Source organism: Homo sapiens, chromosome 12 (assembly GCF_000001405.40).
Source record: "Homo sapiens chromosome 12, GRCh38.p14 Primary Assembly".
Classification (NCBI taxonomy): Eukaryota; Metazoa; Chordata; class Mammalia; order Primates; family Hominidae; genus Homo; species Homo sapiens.
Window position 1 is genome coordinate 103,173,879 of NC_000012.12, and position 24,677 is coordinate 103,198,555.

The 24,677-nt window shown below is 37.8% G+C and overlaps 1 protein-coding gene across 3 annotated transcripts in view, besides 2 other annotated features; it reads right to left on the reverse strand.

Annotated features, from left to right (window-relative positions):
- The window catches only part of C12orf42 (chromosome 12 open reading frame 42), a 516,167-nt gene that overhangs the window by 126,255 nt on the left and 365,235 nt on the right, over positions 1-24,677 (reverse strand). For all 3 annotated transcript variants that reach the window (XR_001748690.2, NR_170336.1, NM_001386867.1), the window contains one exon: positions 4,251-4,320. Coding sequence is in view for 1 of the 3 variants with exons in the window: in NM_001386867.1 (NP_001373796.1) it covers positions 4,272-4,320 (49 nt within the window). In the remaining 2 variants the exon portion in view is untranslated. The remainder of the gene's footprint in view (positions 1-4,250; positions 4,321-24,677) is intronic.
- Positions 3,326-5,742: an enhancer, noted in NCBI's record as "VISTA enhancer hs1575". NCBI's record gives its function as "enhancer in: midbrain (mesencephalon)[4/7]" and the evidence as "EXISTENCE:transgenic organism evidence [ECO:0001131][PMID:17130149]".
- Positions 7,871-8,000: an enhancer, noted in NCBI's record as "active region_6890". NCBI's record gives its function as "activates an Ori minimal core promoter by ATAC-STARR-seq in GM12878 lymphoblastoid cells {active_cell/tissue: GM12878}" and the evidence as "EXISTENCE:reporter gene assay evidence [ECO:0000049][PMID:35858748]".

Here is a 24,677-nt window from a genome sequence, read left to right on the forward strand (position 1 = left end):
AGGTATTCACAGATTTGGGAAGTGACGATGGATTTAAATACAGGACATCTTATCTGCATTCCTAAACATAGAAGACAAGGTGTTGGATCAACTTGCCCCACATAAAAGAGATTATGAATCCAAATTAGAGGCTATCTCTCTAGACTTACAGATCGCTGCTCATTTCTTGAAACAACACTGCCTCTATTGACTAATAAATGCTACAGTTACCATATGTTCAACACTTACTGTGTTTCAGGCATTCTGCCTAGTGCTTTATCACATTATCTGATTTCATTACTATAACAATCCTATTAAGTCATTATTATGATTCCCATTTCATAGATGAAGGAATTCAGAAATTAAATGCTCTGCCAAAAGTCACACAACCTATGGCAGAGCCCTTACTTGGATTCAGGGTCAACTAAACATACATGTATATCAGAAGTAGTGATTTTTTGAGAACAAAAGGACTAATGTGATTCAAAGTGTGCCAAAAGAACATAGTCTCAGGGTTAATTTGGGAGCTATGTACCAAGCACTGGTCTAAGTATTTTATATGTGTTAAGTAACACAATTCTTCAGTCAACCCATGATGTAGATACTAGCATCAGCATTCTCACTTTACAGATGAGGAAGTGGAGGTAGAGAGAAGTATATTGCCCCAGGTCACACAGCTGTTAGGTAATAGAGATAGGATTCAAACTCAGGGAGTCTGTTTTTTAGCCTGACTTCTAATCGCCAACCAACGTTCCCTCTGAAAATCTGTTAGTTAACAGCAATCTTCAAATGTTTAAAATATTTGAAAGCCATTTTGTAAACAATCGAAGTATATCAAAATTATGATTCATTTTTCTATCTCAAAACTAGAAAGCATACCTAATTCATTTTCAAATTCATATCTTCTAACAGTTTTAAATTGTATTAATAAAATTCAGTGACTAGTGGGAAGAAAGTGCTATCAAATCTCACCAAGTGATGTCAAAGTTCCCAGAACTTTGAATTTTACTCCAAATGAACCAATATAATGTACATATGGTTTTTACTGATAGTTACTTCATGTATCCAGCGAAAAGTAAATTGTATTATGATTTGCCACACATATGCTAATGTATGAAATTATTCTGATTACCATTTGACAAATCAGTAGCACAAATAAAAATACTAATTACTGATATCCAACCAATTTAGATGCATTATAATTTCTATTTGCTCAAAATGCAAGGATATTATATGCTATAGGATATTGTCTCCTAATAGGTAATTACCCTAATAGGTAATCAAAGGCACACTTTAATCTTATTATGGAGTAAAGAGAAATATGTCCTATGGCATGAGAATCTATAACCAGTTTTATTCAAGAATAAAATGGCAGACCAGACTGTATTCTATATATAATCTCTAAAAAGTCCCTTTTGTTTTTTTAATAGTGGTGGGACAAAATGCAAAGTCACTCTGATCCCAAGTTATAAATACAAAGTAAAAACAAAATCCATTCACGGACAAACCTACTATTCAACATTGTATCTAATAAACCACAATGAAAGGACAGTTGAACAAGAAAATGTTGCAAAGCTCATCCTAGCCAAGAGTTGGCGAGCTAGAAGTTTTAAAATGCATATGCCCTAAAAATTGGGCGCTCATCTTCACCACAGTGAAAATAAAGCCCAAGGAGCTTATGTGGCCTCGACTGCCAAAAAGAGTGGCGTGAAGTTCAGGGATCCACCAAGTTTTAGAATCCAAAGGGAAAAAAAATGGAATAATTTTCTATTACACTCCACTTTCAACCTCTCCAGATGGATTACGAAAATAGTGAGAAATCTAACAAAGCATTGCACAACTCTTCAGGCTGTATTTGGGTATATGACAATGAGAGAGAGGCAGCATTTATCAGTTGACTCTGCCCTGGAATATTTTCTTAATGCTGATCTCTGGCAAGGTGACCGGGCACCATGACCCAAACCAAGTGGATGATTAAATCAGCCAATTAATAAGTACATACTGAGATGAAAGGGAGGACAAAGCAGCCAGGATAACTACAGCTGGCACATTTCCCCATGATTAAGCTTTGACCTCCTTAGATCAGCACACTGGATGCTGGACACTGGACACTGATCCTCCATCGAGACCACTGAAATTGCTTGCTGCTGCTCCATATGCCAGAGCCCTGTTGTCCTGCAGGCTTCATCAACCATGTGGCACTTCTCTTATTCTGCTTCTTCCCGCCATGCCATATCCCACCTCCCCCCAGTTCAATACTACTCCTTGGAATTGCTTACCGGCTAATTGTTTGCATCTCATCCCACCACTATTAAAAAAACAAAAGGGAATTGCTATTCTGTCCCTGATTGGATTAGACACTCTTGGGGACCAGGAAAATATTCTCAAACATACATCGTATAAAAATGTCTGAATACATGTGTTTTAGAGTCAGACTTCCCACATTTATAGTCCTAATTCTTTGAGTTACCACTTTCTATCCCTGTGACCTTAAGGCAGGCAGCTGAGTCTCTCTATGCCTCAACTTCTCATATTTATAACAGAGAAAACAGCAACTACATTTTAGGTTTCTTGTATAAATGAGATAATAATGCACATAAGGGTTTATCGGAGTTCCTGGCACACTGGTAAATGTTCAATAATGAATGGAGTCCCAATTTTCTGGCCCAATTTCTAATTTTCTGGTCCCATTCTGTGGTATTATATGTGTCATTTAACTCTCATAACAATCTTTTGTGGTATCACTATTATCCCCATTTTGCAATAAGGAAACTGAGGCACAGAGAGTTTCACCTCATGGGTGAGGTCCTGAAGATAGTCATGGCAGGACCAGGATTTGAAGGTAGGCTGTCTGGCTCTAGGATCTGTGCTCTTCATCTTCATGCTGTACTACCTCAAAACAAAGTCCAATCTGGCAACCACATAGGAAAATCATATGGGACTCTCTCAGAACTTAGGTGCCAATAAGACACCACGACCATTTGTAGTTGAAAATTATGTCCCCGTGAGTAGTTATTATTCATCACTTACATTTTAGTGGAAACAGGTAGACCTGATTTTCCAAAAGGAACTGAGGTCTAATAGAAGCTATGTTTGAAGCCAGCCATAAAAAAAAAAATTCTCCTCAAACTTTCTGTGACCCTTGCTCCATTTTAATTCATTATTCAACAGTTTATGAGATATGAGACTGTATCCTGAATTGCAGAGTATTCTTCTGTTAGGATAGCACTTGCCTGAACTATAACTGTTAAGTAAAGGCAAATGGAAAAAAAAAAATTCTATTGGAAGGATATCCACACCCTGCTTTATGATAGAATGATGACTCCCAAGAGGAAAACAAATAAGACGGCCTGATCCCTAGAAAATCAAGCCACACCATCTCAGCTTCTGACACAATGGCCCTTGGATGTTCAGTGATGTGACTAAATTTTTAAGGCAAGATGAGCCTCCATAAAGTAAGAACAAAATGCTCTCCACAATCTAAACTATGTAAAGGCCTTTGACCAAAAGTTACCCCTAAGTATCTACCTAGAGCTACCAAAGAGAGAACTATTCCCTAGCCACTGCACTACCCTTTCTGACTCCAGGTTTCCAAAGAGCTAAAGAAATGTAAGGGACCCCAAGGAACTAAAACTGCTTGAATAATTTTTTGAGACAAAGCTTGAGAAACAGAAAAGCCGTTCTATATGGGGGAAAGAAATCATTGTGAAAGCATAGAACTGCCACTATGGGCCTTCCAGGGGCACGGCCAGAAACTCTGCTGAAAAACTGACTTTCTTTTACAAGAAATCAGATAATAAGACTCCTTTAAGAAGTACAGAATAGTTAAATTCATCACATAATTTAATTGTACAGGTTATTAAATAGCAGTTTGCCTCTCCTCCTTCTCCGATGCTGCTTTTGTGTATTAAACTCAGACTAATCAAATTGGGGATTCCAAGAGTACTGTATTAGTCATCCTCATCCCTTTTAATTTGTTTAATGGCCGTGTGTGTGTGTTTGTGTGTGTGTGTGTGTGCGCGCGCGCTAACAGCAGTGCATCTCTTAGCCTCACGACAACATGTAAATAAAGAATGGATAGGGAAAGTTTTGCAGAAAAGAATAAAGCGTGTTTCCTTTCTAAAGTTACATTTGATGTTTGAGTAATTCATGGAACGTGTGCTGCAAGCAATGGTGCTTATTATTTCTTAGTGGTCTCCAGACACAGGAGAAGAGCGACGGCGAAGAAAGGAAGGAAGGAAGAAAGAAAAGGAGCCTGAATTTACACTCACCGCTTCAAAAGCCCTTTTGTACTAAGCCAACTTCTCCTGGCTGAAGATGCAGTATCTGCCAAGAAGTCGCCTGCAAGAAAGCACACCACACAACAAAAGTATAAAACAGTCCATTAAAGGGCTCCTTTTCTACCCACCCCCAACTTCTTTTAATAATTTTTTTCTTTTGCATAAAAGACACATTTTTAGAAAGTGGCACTCACTCGGTGCCCTACAATGCTGACTGGGATTAGAAAATAAGCTGCCTCGTTAGTGAAGTTTCGAGTTCGGTTTGGCTGTTTGGGTCAATTGTCTTTTCACCTGGCTCGAGCCACCAAGTCAACGTGAACTAAGAATAGGAGTTATTTAGCATGTAGGACCCGTCGGAGAGCAAGCCTCTCGGAGCAGTGGTCTGAGAGGAGCGAGAATGGCTGTCTTGTTTGGGTGGTTGTTGTTTTGAGCTGCTCTTACACATTCAGACTTTCTGTCCATTCAGCCAGAGAGGCCACGTGTCCGAAACCTGAAAGGGGCTAGTGCTTTAGAGCAACGTGGTTAAACTTGCCTTTTCATATGTGGGATTTTCCATGTGGACAATATTTGTTCTCTAGGCATTTTGAGAAGCCTGCTCATATATGGATGTTTTTCAATGTTTATATTTTCAAGTATGTGTTTAAAAACCAGCATAAACTGTGAGGGATGTGAGAGGGTAGGAGGAAGAGAAAGTAGAAATAAACAAAGAGTGGTCAGTAACTTCTTCCATCACAGCCTGCATAGACACCTGCTGGAAAGTCACAAGTCCTGTGAAATGACTCGCCGAGTGTTTTGATCTCCATGATGCCAACTGGCTGACTTTTCCAATGAACTGACCAGTTGTTTTGGCATCTTTCAGGAACAACTCTGCTTCAATCTGAATTATTTAGAAGTAATTACCCCATGGGTGGATAATCAAGGCCTGTGCTTTCTTTCTATTTTCTTTCTAGGCACCTGCTTTTTGGGGCCTATTTTAATACTAATTCATACCCCAAACTTGAGAAGGGTGTTTCAGTTTACTTCAGTGAACATTTTTATTGAACATCTGTCATGAGCCAAGCACTCTGCTAGATTCTGGAGATAGAAAGATAAAAAGAGGTGATTGTTGCTATCAAGAAGTTTGAGATTTTGTGGGAGACAGACATGTTTTAAAGTAATGTCATGAAAAGAAACCCAGAGTGGTTTGTGGCTATTGGGAAGGAGACTTTTAGCATAACCTGGGACTTTCAGGAATGACCTTTCAAGGCAGTGAAGAATGGGCTGAGATTTGAAGAATATGGAGGAATAAACCAATTAACCAAGTGAGAAAGAAATTTCTGGAAGAAGAAGCCATGTAAGAAAAGGCAAAGAGGCATAAAATGGTGGGATTAGCAGTTCAGTAGACCTGGAGCATAAAATGTGAGAACAGAAAAAGAGGGGATGAGATGGGAAAAAAGAATAGTGGATTATTGCACCATGGAGAGTCCAGCCACCATTTTAAAGCATCTGTACTTTGTCTCAAGGACAACAGGGAACCACTGAAAGGCCAAATTAGAAATATGAGGGGATCAGATCTAAATTTAGTTATATCTTCATGTAAATGGATTTGAAAACAGGCTGTGGGAGAATGGTTAGCAGACTATTACAACCATTCAGGGAAGAAAGAATAAAATTCAGAATGACGGATTTGGTGGTGCAGTTGAGGAAGAAATTCAGATTTGTAAAATGTATGTCAGGCAAAATTAGCAGGATCAGGAAAAGGGAGAGGCTATGATAATTCCCAGATTTCTAGTTTAGACAACAGGATGGTGACAGTGCTGTTGACCAAGAGAGGGCCTCCAGGAAGAATGATCTGAAGGTGAAGGAGGAGAGGAGAAGTAAATAGGGAGCATGACAAATTCTGGTGCCTCCTGGGACAGTGGGACAGAGTTTAGGAGGCAGTCAGACACAGGTAGAGTGAGCTTCCAAAAATCAATGATTTAAACCATGCCTTCCCAATGAAGCCAACATTTCCCTCAATAAAAAAAAAAAAGGTGAAAATTTACTTTTGGTGGGAGGAGTCAGCAAAAAGCTCTTACATATTACAATGGTTTGTGGCTCTTCAAAGGGTCACAAACACATACCTATATATCTATAATGCTATTACAATTTCATGGCGAGGAGGGGAGAAAATTAGGTGGCAAGTAGGAAAAAAACATGTCTGAAAATGATCCTTGGGATGGCAATAACGAACTAAAGATTGAAAAACAATGACTTAAATCTGTGGTTTTATTGTTGGCTGTTACAAACTCAAAGAGAGTTGACTTCGTTGGCTAACATGGAGTTTGGAGCAATATTTGCACTGGAGAAAAAGCCCCTGGATAGCTTAGTACAGTTCTCTTGGGTCAGGATCTTCCAGGTTGCTGTTTATTGAAATGCAGATTCCAGGACTCACACCTTCTGTGATATTGAGAATTCCATATGAGTAGAGCCCAGGAATCTGCATTTAAAATAATTTCCTTTTTTTTTTTTTTTTTTTTTTTTTTTTTTGAGATGGAGTTTTGTTCTTGTTGCCCAGGCTGGAGTGCAATGGCGTGATCTCGGCTCACCACAAACTGCACCTCCTGGGTTCAAGCGATTCTCCTGCCTCAGTCTCCCGAGTAGCTGGGATTACAGGCATGTGCCACCACACCCGGCTAATTTTGTATTTTTAGTAGAGATGGGGTTTCTCCATGTTGGCCAGGCTGGTCTCGAACTCCTGACCTCAGGTGATCCGCCTACCTCAGCCTCCCAAAGTGCTGGCATTACAGGCATAAGCCACCGTGCCCAGCCCACTAATTTGCTTTTTATACTTTGACCTAACTAATTTAAAAATTCAAGGATCTGGGTTGGGTGCGGTGGGTCACGCCTGTAATCCCAGCACTTTGGGAAGCTGAGGTGGGCAGATCACAAGGTTGAGAGATTGAGACCATCCTGGCCAACATGGTGAAACCCCGTCTCTACTAAAAATACAAAAATTACCTGGGCATGGTGGCACACACCTGTAGTCCCAGCTACTAGGGAGGCTGAGGCAGGAGAATCATTTGAACCCAGGAGGCAGAGGTTGCAGTCAGCCAAGAATGTGCTACTGCACACCAGCCTGGTGACAGAGCAAGACTCCATCTAAAAAAATAAATAAATAAGTAAAAATTAAAAAAAATAAAAAATGAAAAAAATTCAAGGATCTGAGATTGAATTAGGAAGCAATATTCCAGTGGTGGATGAGAAATTTTCAAGAGAAGAAGCATTGTAAAATCATAAGCATACCATAAATGGAACTTAGGAGCTTAGGTCTCACTTTCCAAACTTTGAAATGGGTTACTCAACAACAACAAAATAGATGTCCCTCTACAAAAAGAAGAAAGACAGAGGTGGAGGTAGCTTTGGTAACATGGCTACATTTGTTTCAGTTTGAAACACCAGTAGCCTGTGTAAGCTGAAAAGGGGAAGTTAATCTGAATCCACTGGCAGACATCAGTTCTCATGGGAGCTCCAACGAGGTTAGTTTTATGTAAACTGTGAAAGTACCAGAATGATCTTCTTCATTCACGCAACAAATTCTACTCTGTAGCAGGTACTGCCTGACCTCTAGAGTTACACCATATCCATCAAAAACTCACCAGAGAAATAGCATTTATGGAGATTGTCTGAAAGATATCCACTCATCTATAATCTACACCTCTACCCCTACCCTGTCTCACAGGTAGGGAGAAAAGCTAAGACACATTTAATAAAATGCTAGGCTGACTTTGGGAAATGCCGTAAGCTTATATTGTATTTCCCTAGGATGAAAGACTCCTTCTCATTTTGCCACCATGTCACTTGTAAGAATGATGTTAAGTGTGGTCATTACTTTGCCTAGTAATTAGAATGACCACTCTTCTGGTGGTTGTTTCTGTTAGGTGATTAGTAATCGTAGGGTTTTTCTCGTGTTTTTATTTTGTTTTAACTCATGGACACTGAGAATTACACGGCTGGTCTTTATTCCCCTCTCTTAATTTAGGCTGCTAAAAAAGCAAAAACCAGACTTGCTCACTCCCAATAGCAAGTAGAAGGGACTCAATACTATGTGTGCTTTTATTAGCCTCCTTCTTACTTCCATTTTGTGTTCTTAAATAAAATATATACCAGAGCCATGGCATTTATTGGTCTTTTAAGGGACTTGTAAATGAGGTTAAGGCATTATGTTATCTGGAAGTTACCAGCTGAGAACGGATTAGTTATCTGATTGACCCATCCTAGCTCAGGGCAAAGCTGCAAAGAAACAGATATGAAATAGGTAAATTCTGAAGAAAATGGCAAAGAGGAGGAGCAGAGCAGGAATGGTAAGGTCAAGAGAACAGTGTTTACTCAGTTCTACCCATGTGATAGCATTGCATTCAGTAGCAGGTAACCTAAGGCAAGAATTGGGTCAGAAACAGTTACTTAATAAAGGTAATAAAGGTTTAGTTCATGGCACACTAACCACTAGGGGTTTTACTAATACCCTACCCTCAACTCTCTCCTCTTATATTTCTATTTTTCATATAAATTTTTATTGAGATAATTGTAGGTTTAAAAGAAGTTGTTAGAAATAATACAAAAAAACACTCTAGAGCTTTTATCCAACAGAACCTCAAAATATGTCAAGCAAAAACTGTTGTTTCTTACTGCTGATATCTCCCAATAGCAACATTTTGTAAAACAATGTGATATCACAACCAGGACATAGATATTAATACAATCCACTGATCTTATTCAAATTTTTCATTCTACTTATACTTATTTCTGTCTGTGCATTTAGTTCTATTTAATTTTATAACATATGCAGTTTCAAGTATTTACCATCATAGTCAGGAAACAATTCCATCACTACAAGGGTGCCCTTTTATAATAATCACTGTACTCCTCTTGTATTTTGTGAAAGAATTTGTATAAAGTTGGTTTAATTGCATTCTCTTGCTCTATTTCATTTCATTTCATTTTAAGACGGAATCTCTTCTCTGTCGCCAGGCTGGAGTACAGTGGCCCGTTCTCAGTTCACTGAAACCTCTGCCACCCAGGTTCAACAGATTCTCCTGCCTCAGCCTCCTGAGTAGCTGGAACTACAGGCACATGCCACCATGTCCAGCTAATTTTTGTATTTTTAGTAGAGGTGGGGTTTCACCATGTTGGCCAGGGTGGTCTCGATCTCTTGATGTCATGATCCACCCGCCTTGGCCTCCCAAAGTGCTGGGATTACAGGCGTGAGCCACCACGCCCAGCCCTTGCTCTCTTTTTAATAGATGTAGAGCCTATAGTGAGATTTTCTATTTTATTGCTGAGACTGGTGAATTTTATCTTTATTTTTATTTTGTCAGTCTTGCCAGATATTTATCAATGTATCATTTTTTTTTGAATAACCAGCTTTTGGTTTCATTAATTGTTTCTATTGTCTTACATTTTTTATTTTATTGGTTTCTGCTCTTATCTTTATTATTTCCTTTCATTCTTTGGGTTTGATTTTCCCTTTATTTACTAGTTTCTTGAAACAGGAACTAAGATTATTGATTTGTGATTTTTCCTCTTTTCTAATGTAAACTTTTTGTGTTACAAATTTTCTTCTCAGCACTGCTTTAACTATGTCTCACATGTTTCCACATTTTATACACTCGTTTTTATTTAGCTCTATGTATATTTTTTACTTACTTTGAGTCTTCCTCTGTGATCTATGGATTATTTAGAAATGTATTTTTAATAATCACTATTTAGAGATTTTCCTGTTGTCTTTGTGTCCTTGTTTTCTAGTTTCTCTCTATTATGGTTATAGTATATACTCTATATTACAAGTTTTTGTTTAATTTGTTGAAGTTTGTCTTATGTCCCATGATATGTTCTGTCTTGGTTGGGAATGTCCCATAGATGCTTGGAAAAAGCTGTGTATGTTGCCACTGCTAATATATAATGTCTCACATTGGTGATTATGTTGTTTAGAGCTTCTATAACCAAGCTTATTTTCTGTCTATTAATTCTGTCAGTTTCTGGGGACACTGTGTGTTGACATCCTCAACTATAATTCAGGATTAGTCTATCTCCTTTCAGCTCTATCAATTTTTGCTTCACATCTTTTGAGGTTTTATTGTTTGGTGCATACCTGTTAAGATCTTTATGTTTTCCTGATGGACTAACCTTTATATCATTATATAATGCCCCACTTGGTCTCTAGTAATTTTCTTTAAAGTCTACTTTATCAGGTGTTAATATAGTAAATTAGTGATTTTGTAAATTAATGTTTTCATGGTATATCTTTTTCCATCCTTTTAATTTTAACCTACCTATGTCATTGAGTTTGAAATGAGATTTTTGTAACTAGCATATAATTGTCAAACTTCCTTTTGAAAGCACAAAATTGGGGATAAGGATATCAGAGAAGAGGGAATTGAACTGAAAGCTATAGATGAGGGTGGGGAATGGCTATGTAGTGCTCTGTATATGAGAAACAAAGAAAATTCTGTGGTAGATTCTTTCTTGGTTTCTCTTCTAGTTTAGGAAGACCCCAAGTCAAAGACATGGGGGCAGATGATTACACAAAACATAAGTACTATAGGCTGAATTGTCACCCCCCCCCCCCCAAATATATATGTTAAAGTTCTCACCCCCAGTAACTCAGCATGTGACTATATTTAAAGATAGGGTCTTTAAAAAGGTAACTAAGAAAAAATGAGGTCATATAAGTGATCCTTAGCCTAATATGACTATTGTCTTTGTAAGGAGAGATGATTAGGATGTAGACAGGTGAATGCACAGAGGAAAGACCATATGAAGGCATAGCAATAAAGAAGCCATCTGCAAGCCAAGGAGAGTGGCTTCAGAAGAAACTAAACCCACTAACACCTTGATCTTAGATTTTCACCTTCCAAAATGATAAGAAAATAATTTTCTGTTGTCAAAGCCACCCAATCTGTAGTATTTTCTTATGGTAGCCCTAAAAAAACTAATACAGTAACTAAGGGTATGGGATAAATGAGTTGAGCAGGGAGAAAAAGCAATAAAGAGTGCATTCATAAGAGGTTTTCTATTGTAGACATTTAGGATTTACTCTTGGATTCTTCTGTCCCTCATTGGCTAAGGGCGACTCCTAGATAAAGTGTTAAATTCCTGACATTTCTGGACTACCTGTGCTTGGGCTAAGCTAGCTTCCATGGTGTTGGAGAAAGCTCTTCAGCAGATAAGCAAAGAGTCACAGGTACTTCAGGTAGGAAGTTATGATTGTGCTTGATCACTCATCGTCCACTGTAGTTGCAGGTGAACTTAGGTGTGGACCATTGGCATATGGGTAAGCATCAACAATATCTACTACAGACCCTTCCTTCTTTTTCCCTTCCTTCCTTCCTTCCTTCCTTATTCCTTCCCTCTTTCCTTCTTTCCTTCTTTTTTCTCCTGCCAGGCTCTTGGAAATCTCAGTCTCTTTGACATGTGATATGGTTTGACTCTATGTTCCCACCCAGATCTCATCTTGAATTATACTCCTATAATTCCCACATATTGTGGGAGGGACCTGGTGGGAGAGAATTTGAATCATGGGGGTGGTTTCCCCAATACTGTTCTTGTGGTAGTGAATAATTCTCATGAGATCTGATGGTTTCGTCAGGGGTTTCTGCTTTTGCATCTTCTGCATTTTGCTCTTGCTGCCCCCATGTAAGAAGTGCCTTTCACCTCCCGCCGTGATTCTGAGGCCTCCTCAAGCCATGTGGAACTGTAAGTCTAATTAAACCTCTTTTTCTTTCCAGTTTCGGGTATGTCTTTATCAGCAGCATGAAAATGTACTAATACAACATGTCCCTTGAGAAACAGTCTTTCAAGTCCTTGTGTGGTAAAATGGCCAAAACCTTCTATTTGGCCATCCTCAACTGCTCCCTTCCTTAAGAAACTAAGTTGGTCCAGAGTGGGACCCATGTGAAATGAGTCTTAGGGCATGGTAGGTTTATAATTACAGCTCTGGACATACAAAAGAAGTTATTAATACTTCCACCTTTTGTTATAGTTACCATCTCTTGACAGAAGAGAGTAGGATATAGACTGTGGAACTAGGTCAAGAAAGCTACCAGGTCTGTTTTCATGGCTATAGGCTTTTAGGACTATCTATCAACTTGGGAAAGAAGTTCGTAGGGTTCCATAAAGTTCATCCAGCTTACTCAAAGACTGTCTTGTAGTATGACACCAAATTGTAGCTAATAGTAAAAACAGTTTTCCAGGAGTATTCCTTCTGTTAATCTTCCTCATAAATTTTCAGTGATGGTGGTATGTAAGAGGATAAGAATTTAGAGTTCTTGCCTTTCATCCACGCACTTAAAATTTGAGCTGACATGCGTTCAAAAGTGATTTTTCATTATGTTTAAAAGCCTAAGAAATGGTACACTGTCTAATCAAAATGGCATAAATCATTTGCTCTTGGCAGAAACTTTATTATCTCATCATAAGGACACTAGAGACTCTTGTTGATTGTTTTTTTAATTGGCTACTATGGATGTGATTGATTAATTTGAAACATAAAAATTTCATGAAAAATCATGAATTAATGGATGTATGTGAGGGATACAATCTCTTAAAATACAAGGTTCAAGTGGGATGTAAGCTCTTGAGGTGACACACCTGGAACCCAGTGGCCTTGGGCTCCAGAATTATCTTCCACCAGTCTACTCCTCATTATTATTATAAGATGTAGGAAAGATGCATCCTATTTTTCCCCTAATATAACAGGAAAGGAAACTAAAGCCAAAGAGAGAAATGTAGCTGAGAACCCTGTTTTCTGCCCTTTCCACCTTACTTTGATGGTACTCACTACTTCTCTCATTTGTTCATTTGTATTTCAGATTATGCTTTGTTCCAAAAAAATTTACTCTAACTCACAAAAGCACAATAAAACATTACATACTATACCATCAAATCCTGGAAGAAGTCTCTAGTCAGGTTTTCCTGACTTTTTGTTTTTCTTAGGGTTAGCTCTGAATACTAGACTCATTCTCTTGGAGGGAGGGAACTCAAAATGGGCAAGAATGATTTGTTTTGCCTTAGCAAGATAAGGAATAATACTATTTATATAATGTTTACCAAGGGCCACACACTATTTTAAGTGCATCTTACAGATCAGTTTTACAGATTAACTCATTTAATCCTCATAAAGCTTCCATGGAATAAGTACAATTAACTGCCTTACAGAATAAAAAAAAACTGAAACACAGAGACATTAGGGAACTTTCCCATAGTCACAACATTAATGATTAATGCAGATAGGATTCAAATACAGGCTGTCTGGCCCTAGAAGCCAACTTTTACTACCAAGCTAAGCTGTATCTCAGAAAGGGCAGATGGGATGACCACTGAGGTCATGCTATAGACTCCATTCTTGATAGGAAGACATGATCATGGCAAGTAAAGATCTCTTTGCCCCTTTAAAACATATACTTTTGTTTTGCCAATGTATGGTCTTTTCATATCAATGAGAATGAGGAAAATAGTTGAAGAAAGGCTGAATAATAATTGGCATTTAAGTATCTCTGTTATCTATACTTGGGCAATTCTTGGAAGGTAATAATGTCCTAAGTTAAAAAAAAGGCTGGAATTGTTGTCATTTTCTGAGCAGCAGCTGCATCAAGATTTGCCATGGAATAAAGTTTTGGGTAAGACAATTCACCTTTCCTCTTATTTCTGTAGCACTTGCTAGCTACACCTTTAATGGCACTGGTCACCACATAACTTATCATTTATTTGTGTGTGCCTTGACTCCTTACAAAAAGAGGATTTAAGGAGGCTTACAAAACTACATACAATTATACCAAGTTTTAAAAAATAGGCAGGCAGGGAAACAGAATAGTAAATGTGTACTGCTTGCTACCTCAATTTCTCTCCTTCTGGTAAGAGTACTCTGAATTTCCTTTGAAATCTCCCTCTCTCATTTATGTGTCTTGGGTGGGTTCAATCTCATCTTCAGCTTCAGAGCTGGGCTCTGTGTGGCTTATGGCAAGCAGTGTTTCTACTGTACTAGTTCAGAAATGAGCAGTTCACCTGAATAGATCCAAGGAGAAAAAAGGAGACAATTCCCAGAGTTTTGGGAAAAGATAATGTTTCTTTCTTTCACTTGATTCCTTTTTATTTTTTTGGCAATGTCTAACATGTTTCTTTCTTTCTTTCTTTTTTAATTTTATTTTTCCATAAGTTTATTGGGGTACAGGTGGTATTTGGTTACATGAGTGAGTTCTTCGGTGGAGATTTGTGAGAACCTGGTGCACCTATCACCTGAACAGTATACACTGCACCATATTTGTTGTCTTTTCTTTCACTTGATTTATTGGTGATGTGATGTGAGGATTGGAACCACAGAAGCCATTTTGATACTATGCGATATGGTTTGGATATTTTTCCTCTCCAAATCTCATGTTGAAATATGACCTCCAGTGTTGGAGAAGGGCCTAGTGGGAGGTGTTTGGGCCATGGGGGTGGATCCCTTATGAATGGCTTGGTGATATCCACAATGTAAGGGGTGAGTTCTTGCTCTGGTAGTTCACATGAGAATTGATTGCTTAAAGAAGCTGGCACCTCCCCACCTCTCTCTTGCTTCCTCTCTTGTCATATGATACTCTGGCTCTTCCTTTGCCTTCTGCCATGATTGTAAGCTTTCTGAAAGCTTCATCAGATGTGGTGTCAGCACCACGATTCCTGAAAAATCTTTATGCCTACAAAACTGTGAGCCAAAATAAACCTCTTTTCTTTGCAAATTACCCAGTCTCCAGTAATCCTTTATAGCAACAAAATATGGCTAATATGAAAGAAGTCAGTCTTAAAATGTAGCTGCTTCATGGAAAACAACAGAGCTGAGTATAAAACTGAGTGTGTTAATATCACTTTAGCATTTGAGAATTCCTTCTGGATTTTCCTATTTGTTTAATTGGTTAAGATAGGTTTAGTTGAGTTTTATGTGACTTACAAAAGAAACGACTCCTAATGGAAACAAATATCAAAAGAAAAATTAAAAACATGAGACAAAAACAAGGCTGGGATTAACACACAAAATGCATCTACTTGCTTCAGGTAGACCACTGATTTGGGTCTGAGCTTTTTAGCAGTCAGTACAAAGACAGAAATATGAAGTTATTTTGAGGGTTCAGAGTGTCTGTAGAATAAAACAAGCCAGATGCTTTAAGGAGAGCAAGTATTCCTAGAAACAGGAACTGGAGAGAAATTTCTCTCATGGGCTTTCATAAAAGAGACATTATTGGGAGATGTCAGCAGGATAGAGATTCTAGCTCTCCTCAAGGAAATGTGAGCTGATTTAACAACACCCATGCATGTAAATACCTTCACAAGATCTCCAAAATCCAAGTGACAGATCACAGCTTCCAAATGGGACACAAAAACAAGAAAAGAACATTGAAGAGTGTAGGAAGGACAGTTTAACTCCATTCACATCACCCATTCCCCAAATCTGCATAGTGTAGGCCTGGGGTAGGCCTGAGAGAGACATCTTCCTCCTAGGAGCTCTAGTGGGAAAAAGTAGGTAAAATGAACATCCAACTTCCTGAGAACTCAGGCTTCATGCCTGCACCCACAAACCCAGGCACCAGGCCCACCCCAGTGGAACCACAACAATTTGCCTGGGCAACAGGCTTTCCTACCCACAGACCCAGGCATCAGACCTGCCTGCCTATGGACTTCAGCAGCAGGGCCACCCACAATCCTAGCCAGCCAACTTACTAAAAATATTTGGCCAGACTGAGTTGAGAAGCATTTTCTTTATCAAGGTCCAGTGTGAATGGAAAGAGGTAACTACTTTGTACTAGTCTGGGTTTTCCAGAGGGACAGAACAATTGGATATACATGTGTATATATATATATACACACACACACACAGAGGAGAGGGAGAGTTTATTTGGGAGAATTGGCTCACACAATTACAAGGCAATGTCCCATCATAGGAGTCTGCAAATTGGGGCAAAAGAGAAGCTGGTAGTGTGACTCAGTCCAAATCCAAAAGCCTCAAAACTAGAGAAGCAGATAGTGCAGACCTCAGTCTGAGGCCAAGGGCCTGAGAGCCTCTGGGCAACCCCTGGAGTCTAATGTCCAAGGGCAGGAGGAGAAGAAGCAAAGTGTCTGTCATGGGAAGAAAGAGAGAGTGAGAAGACTCAGCAAGCTGCTTATCCCCCTTCTTCTGCCTGCTTTGTTCTAGCTTCACTGGCTGCTGATTGGATGGTGCCTACTCACAGTGAGGGTAGGCCTTCCTCTCCCAGCCCACTGAGTCAAATAAGCCCCTCACAACATCTCCACTGACACACTCAGAAACAAGGCTTCACCAGCCATCAAGGCATCCCTCAATCCAGTCAAGTTGACATCTAATATTGACTATGATATACTTCTTCAAATGGACATATATCAATCCAAGCCTACAAAGAATGCTGAGGATAGATAGAAATCATAAAAAAGAACAAAACAAATTCTGGAGCTAAAGAATGCAATAACTAAACTGAAAAATGCCATATAGGGCTTCAATAGCAGATTCAGTCAAAGAGAAGAAAGAATAAAAGAGCTCAAAGACAGTTCATTTGAAATTATTCAGTCAGAGGAACAAAAAGAGAAAAATGAATGAAAATGAATGAAGAAAGCCTGTGGGAGTTATGTGACACCATCGAGTAAACCAATGTACATATTATGGAATTCTCAGAAAGAGAAGAGAAAAGAAAATGGCAGAAAGTTTATTCAAAGAAATAATGGCCATAAACTTCCCAAATATGAGGAAGAAAATAAACATCCAAATTCATGAAACACAAAGGACCTTGAATAGATTAAACCTAAAGAGATCTACACTGAGAAAACATTATAAGTTTTCAAATGTCAAAGACAAAGGTAATTTTAAAATCAACAGGAGAAAAGTGAATTTTTACATATACTGGAGTCTTCATAAGACTATCAGTAGATTTCTCAGTAGAAAACTTGCAGGACAGAAAAGAGTAGTTTGCGTATATTCACAGTTCTGTTGGAGGGAGAGGAACCTGCCAACAAAGAAAACTATACCAAGAAAACTGTTTTCTAAAAATAAATAAAGAAAAAAGGTTTCTCAGAAAACCAAAACAGAGTCCATCATCACTAGATCTGCTTTACAAAAGAAGTGTCAAATACAGTTTTTCAAATTGAAACAAAATGACACTAAACAGCAACACAAAAGCTTGTGAAGGTATAAATCTCATAGTTAAGCTAAACATATAAACAAATACAAAATCATGTAATACTGTAATGGTGGTGCATGAACCACTTTTAACCTTAGTATAAAAATTAAAAGACAGGCTGGGTGCAGTGGCTCATGCCTGTAATCCCAATACTTTGGGATGCTGGGTCAGGCAGATTACTTGAGTTCAGGAGCTCAAGACCAGCTGGGCAACATGGTGAAACCTCCACTCTACAAAAAAAAAAAAAAAAAAAAAAAAAAAAAAATACAAAAGAGAAAAAAATTATCTGGGTATGGTGGCCCATGTTTGTGTTCCCAGCTACTTGGGAGGCTGAGCCAGGAGGATTACTAGAGACCAGGAGGTCCAGACTCTGCAGTGAGCTGAGATTGCACCACTGTACCCCAGCTTGTGCAACAGAGTGGGACTCTGTGTCTAAAAAAAAAAAAAAAAAGAAAAGAAAAGAAAATATTAAGAGCTATAACCATAAAAATTGGTTAATAAATGGATATACAATATAAAACTAATTGTGACATCAATAACACCAAGTGTGTGTGGAGGGAGCAAAAGTTTGAGTTTTTGTATGTGACTGAATTTATGTACAGCCACACAAAGTTTTCTCAGTTCAAAGTAGACTGTTATAGCAATAAAAAGTATTATACAAACCTCACTAAAACCACAAACAAAAATTCTATAGTATACAATATATTGCTACAAAAAATCATCAAATGATAAAGTAAGACAGCAGGAGAGGAAAGGAGGAACAAAAGAACACAAACAGACAAAAACAACAAAGAAAATAACAATAGTAAGTAGCTATTAATAGTTACATCAATAATTAAATAACAGACTAGTAGATTGGATTTAAAAAAAGATCCAATTATATGCCACCAACAAGAAACCAACTTTAGATTTAAGAATACACATAGGGCTCATGTCTGTAATCCCAGAACTTTGGGAGACTGAGGTGGGCCGATCATGAGGTCAAGAGATCAAGACCATCCTGGCCAACATGGTGAAACCCCCTCTCTACTAAAAATACATAAATTAGCTGGGTGTGGTGGAGTGTGCCTGTAGTCCCAGCCACTCAGGAGGCTGAGGCAGGAGAATCGCTTGAACCTGGGAGGCAGAGGTTGCAGCTAAGCCAAGACCATGCAACTGCACTCCAGCCTGGTAACAGAGCGAGACTCCATCTCAAAAAAAAAAAAAAAAGAATACACATAGGCTGAAAGTGAAGGGTGGAAAAAGATATTCCATGCAAATGGTAACCAAAAGAGAGAATAGGTGCTATAGTAACATGAGATAAGATAGACTTTGAGTCAAAAACTGTCACAAGAGACAAAATAGGTCATTACATAATGATAAAAAGGTCAATTCTAAAGGAGGATAAAACTATCAATATATTTTTATCCAGCATCAGAGCACCTAAGTACGGAAAGCGAAGATTGATATATCTGAAGGGAGAAATAGACAGCAATACAATAATAGCAAAAGACTTCAATATCCCCCTTGAAATAATGGACAGATCATCCAGACAGAAAATCAACAAGGGAGGCTGACTTAAACTACACTGTAGAGCAAATGAACCTAACAATTATATACAGAACATTCCACTCAACAGCAGAAAATATACCTTCTTCTCAAGCACATATGGAACATTCTCCAGGACAGATCACATGCTAGAACACAAAACAAATCTTAACAAATTTTAAAAGATTGAAATTATTCCATAAGTATCTTTCCCAACCAAAATGGAATAAAACTAAATATGAATAAAAAATGAAAAGGAAAAACTCACAAATATGTGAAAATTCACCAACACATTCATCAATAACCAATGGGTCAAAGAATAAATTTAAAAAATTAGAAAATATCTTCAGACGAACAAAAATAAAAACAACATACCAAAACTATGGGATACAGCAAAAGCAATATTAAGAGAAAATTTATAGTGATAAGCACCTATATTTAAAAAAAAGAGAGAAACTCTGAAATATTTAAACAATCTCATAGTTTACCTCAAGGCACTAGAAAAAAGAAGAAAAAACTAAGCTCTAAGTTAACAGAAAAAAAAATAATAAATGTCAAGGCAGAAATAAATAAAGGATAAAAAAAGGAAAAAATTATAAAACTGAGTTCTTCCCTCAAAAAGATAAGCAAAATCAACAAGAAAAAGAAGCAATTAAATGAAATATGAAATTAAAAAGGGGACACTACAAGTTCCACAGAAATAAAAAAGATTAAAAGGAATTATGAACAATTATACACCAACAAAATGAACAATCTATAAGAAATGTATAAATTCCTAGAAACGTACAATCTAAGAAGACTGAAACAAGAAGAAATAGAAAGACTGAATAGGCCAAAAACAAAAGAGATTGCATCAGTAATCGAAAACCTTCCAATAAAGAAAAGCCAAGGACCAGAAGGCTTTACAGGTGAATTCTACCAAAGATTTTTTAAAAAAGAATTAATACCAATCACTTTTAAACTAGAAGAGGGAATACTTCCAAACTCTTTTTTGTGAGCCCAGCATCACTCTGATACCAAAAGCAGACAATGGCACCAACACAAAACTATAGGCCATTATCCTTGATGAACATGAAGGCAAAAATCCTCAACAAAACATTTGCTAACAGAATTCAAACCACATTAGAAGCATCATACACCATGACCAAGTAAGATTTATCCCTGAAATGCAAGCATGGCTTAACACATGCAAGTTAATCAGTATGATAGTCCACATTAACAAATGAAGGATAAAATCATATTATCATCTCAATAGATGCAGAAAAAGCATTTGAAAAAAGTTAACATCTCATGCTAAAAAAAAAAACTCAAAAAATCAGATATGAAGAAACTTACCTCGACACATAATAAAGGCTATATATGAAAAACCCATAGGTAGCATACTCAACAGTGAAAATTGAAGAGCTTTTCCTGTAAGATCAAAACAAGGCAAAGATGCCCACTCTTGCACTTGTATTCAGTAGAGTACTGGAATTCCTAGCCAGAGAAATTAGGCAAGAGAAAGAAATAAAAGGCATCCAAATTGAAAAGGAAAAAGTAAAATTACCTTTGCTTGAAAATGACATGATCTCATATCTAGAAAAGCCTAAAGGACTCCACAAACTGTTAGAACTAGTAAATAAATACAGCATATTTTTAGGAAACAAAATCAACATACAAAAATTAGTTGCCTTTCCATACACTAACAACAAAGCATACCAAAAGAAAATTCAAAAAACAATTTCATTTACGATAGCATCAAAAATAATAGAATACTTAGGAATAAACTCAAGTGAAAAGGTGGAAAACATCTATAGTGAAAATCATAATACAAACACTTATGAAAACAATTAAAGAAGACATAAAAAGGAAGACATCCCATGTCCACGAATTGGAAGAATTAATATTGTTAAAATGTACATGCTACCCAAAGTGATCTACAAATTAGATTCAATCTCTATCAAAATTCCAAAAGCATTTTTTCCAACTTTTATTTTGTTTCAGGAAGTACATGTGCAGGTTTGTTAGGTGGGTAAATTGTGTATTGGTGGGGTTTGGTGTTCAGATTATTTCATCACCCAGGTAACAAACATAGCACCTGATAGGTATTTTTTTCAATCCTCATTCTCCTTCCACCTTCCAGCTTCAAGTAATCCCTAGTGTCTATTTTTCCTTCTTTGTGTCAATATGAACTCAGTGTTTAGCTCCCACTTATAAGCAAGAATATTCAGTATTTGGTTTTCTGTTACTGTGTTAATTTGGTTAGGATAATGACCTCCAATTCCAACCATGTTGTTGCAAAGCACGTGGTTTTGCTTTTTTATGGCTGTGTGGTATACCACGGTGCATATGTACCACATTTTCTTTATCCAGTCCACCACTGATGGGCATCTATGTTGATTTCATGTCTTGCTTTGTGAATAGTGCTATGATGAATATACACATGCATGTGTATTTATGGTAGAATGATATCTATTCCTTTGGGTATATACCCAGTAATGGAATTGCTGGGTTGAATGATGGTTCTGTTTTAAGTTCTTTGAGGAATTGTCAAACTGCTTTCCGGAGTGGCTGAACTAATTTGCATTCCCATCAGCAATGTATAAGCATCCTCTTTTCTCCACAACCTTGCCAGCATCTGTTATTTTTTGACATTTAATAATGGCCATCCTGACTGGTATGAGATGCTATCTCATTGTGATTTTGATTTGCATTTATATTATGATTATTGATGTTAAGCATGTTTTCATATGCTTGTTGGCTAGATGTATATTTTCTTTTGCAAATTGTCTGTTCATGTCATTTGCCCATTTTTTAATGGGGTTGTTTTTTGCTCATTAATATTTTTAAGTTGTTTATAGATTCTATCAGATTCTGTCAGATGTATGGTTTGCAAATATTTTTTCCTATTCTGTAGGTCATCTGTTTACTCTGTTGACAATTTCCTTTGCTGTGCAGAAGCTCTTTAGTTTAATTAAATCCAATTTCTCAATTTTTGTTTTTGTTGTAATTGCTTTTGGAGTCTTTATCATGAAATCTTTGCCAGAGCCTATATTCAGAATGATATTTCCTGAATTTGCCTCTGGGGTTTTCATAGTTTTAGGTTTTATATTTAAGTTTTTCATCCATCTTTAGTTTATATTTGTATATGGTAAAAGGAAGGGGTCCAGTTTCAATCTTCTGCACATAGCTAGCCAATTATTGAATCCCGACATCATTTATTGTATAAGGAGTCTTTTGATATGGGCATTTAGTGCTATAAACTTTCCTTTTAACACTGTGTTAGCAGTATCCCAAATGTTTTGTTATGTTGTAACTTTGTTTTCATTAGTTTCAAACAATTTATTGCTTTCTTCCTTAATTTCATTATTTATTCAAAAGTCATTCAAGAGGAGATTGTTTAATTTCCATATAATTGTACTGTTTTGGGAGATCTTCTTGCTGTTGATTTCTATTTTTATTGCTGTGTTCTAGAGTATGTTTAATATGATTTCGTTTTGTGTTCTTTTGAATTTGTTCAGAATTGTTTTATCACTAAGTATGTGGTTGATTTTAGAGTATACACCACGTACAGATGAGAAGAATGTATATTCTGTTGTTGTTGGGCAGTATGTTCTGTAGATATCTATTAGGTCCATTTGGTCAAGTACTGAGTTTATGTCCCAAGTATTTTTGTTAGTTTTCTGCCTCGATGATCTGGCTAATACTATTAGTGGGATATTGAAGTCTGCCACTCTTATATCGCTTTGTGGGTCTTTCAGAATTTGTTTTATGAATCTAGGTGCTCTAGTGTTGGGCATATATATATTTAGAATAGTTAAGTATTCTTGTTGAATCTGTCTTTATTATTACGCAATACCCTTATTTGTCCTTTTAAGTCATTGTTGGTTTAAAGTCTGTTTTTTTTTCTGAAACAAGAATAGCGACCTCTACTCTTGTCTTCTGTTTGCTTGATAGATTTTTTCCATTCCTTTTCTTTGAGCTTACAGGTGTCATTGAATGTGAGAGGGTCTCATGAAGATAATATACAGTTGGGTTTTGCTTCTGTATCCAACTTGTCATTGTGTGCCTTTTAAGTGAGGTGTTTAGCCCATTTACATTTAAGACTCATATTGATACGTGCAGATTTGATCCTGTCATCATGTTCTTAGCTGGTTGGTATGTAGACTTAATTGTATAGTTGATGTATAGTGTCATTGGTCTATGGACTTAAGTGTGTTTTTGTGGTAGCTGGTAATGTTTTTTCATTTCTGTGTTTAGCATTCCCTTAAGTACCTTTTCTAAGGAAGGTCTGGTGGTAACAATTTCCCTTAGCATTTGCTTGTCTGAAAAAGATTTTATTTCACTTTTGTTTATGGAGCTCGGTTTGGCTGGATATAAAATTTTTGGTTGGAATTTATTTTCATTAAGGATGCTGAATGTAGGCCTCTAATCTGTTCTGGCTTGTACAGTTTCTGCTAAAAGTTCTGATGTTAGCCTGATAGGGTTCCCTTGGTGGGGATCTGAGATTCTTTCCTCAGCTTGGTCTATTCAGCTGTTAATACTTCCGATTATATTGTGAAATACTTGTAGTGAGTTTGTTTTAGCTTTTTAAGACCAGTTTGGGTCATTCATAAAATGACTGTTTCATCTCTCAGATCTTGTATTGTTTTAATACATTCCTTAGATTCCTTGGATTGGGTTTCAATTTTCTCCTGAATCTCGATGATCTTCCTTGCCATCCAGATTCTGAATGCTATGTCTTTTATTCCAGCTATTTAAGTCTGATTAAGAATAATTGCTGGAGAGCTAGTATGGTCACTTGGAGGCAAGAAGACCCTCTGGTTTTTTGAATTGACAGAGTTATTGCACTGGTTGTTTCTCATCTGTCTGGCTGATGTTCCTTCAATCTTTGAAGTTGCTTCCTTTGGATAGGGCTTTTTGCTTTTATACTCTTTGATGGCTGTGAGGGTTTGGTTTTTGTATGAGTTGGGTTCAGTCAACCGGCTTTGTTTCTGGATGACTTCAGTGAGACAAGCCTCAGCTCAGCACTCCTGGGCTGCATGCTGTAATTGTAGGGGGCTGGGACCAGGCCCATGGCTTTGTTCTCTGGCCCCTTAAGGTTGAGCACCTGCTGTACTGAAGAGACCCAGGTGTTCCCAGTCCACTGACAATAACATTCCAATGGGGGAGGGGGTCCCAGCAAAAGTGTTTCACTGGGACAGAGGCAGCAGGATCCACAGTCACATGTGTGTGCTGCCAGCAGTAGAGTAGCAGCACCTGTGCACATACACACACACAGAAGCAGGCAGTGACAGTGAGGTCTGCATACATGCAATAGTGGCGGTGAAGCAACAGGATCTGCATACACATTCCAGTAACACAGTAGGGGATGGCCGTGGGTGAATGAGTGCCAGCAAAACAGAGGGAGAGGCTGTGGACAAGCATGCACTAGCTTCACCTGCAGAAGCTCTTTGACAGATAGGTGACCTCTGCCAGAGAAGGAGCTATGACAGTGGCACTGGGAAGCACTGTGGTTGGGCATGTGAGGCTGCACTGCAATTGAGCTCAGCCAGGCAGGAACCCTGGGAGAGGCCGGCAGACAGATTGGTGCTCAGACCAGACTGACGCCACTCCACAAGCAAGACCACCCTACTTGTCCAGGTCCAACAGTCACCAAAGGCCAAAGCCACCTAGAGGAGCATGGTGATCCTTGTGAGATGGGCATCCCTCGCCATGCTCCACTGTAACTGTTCTCATG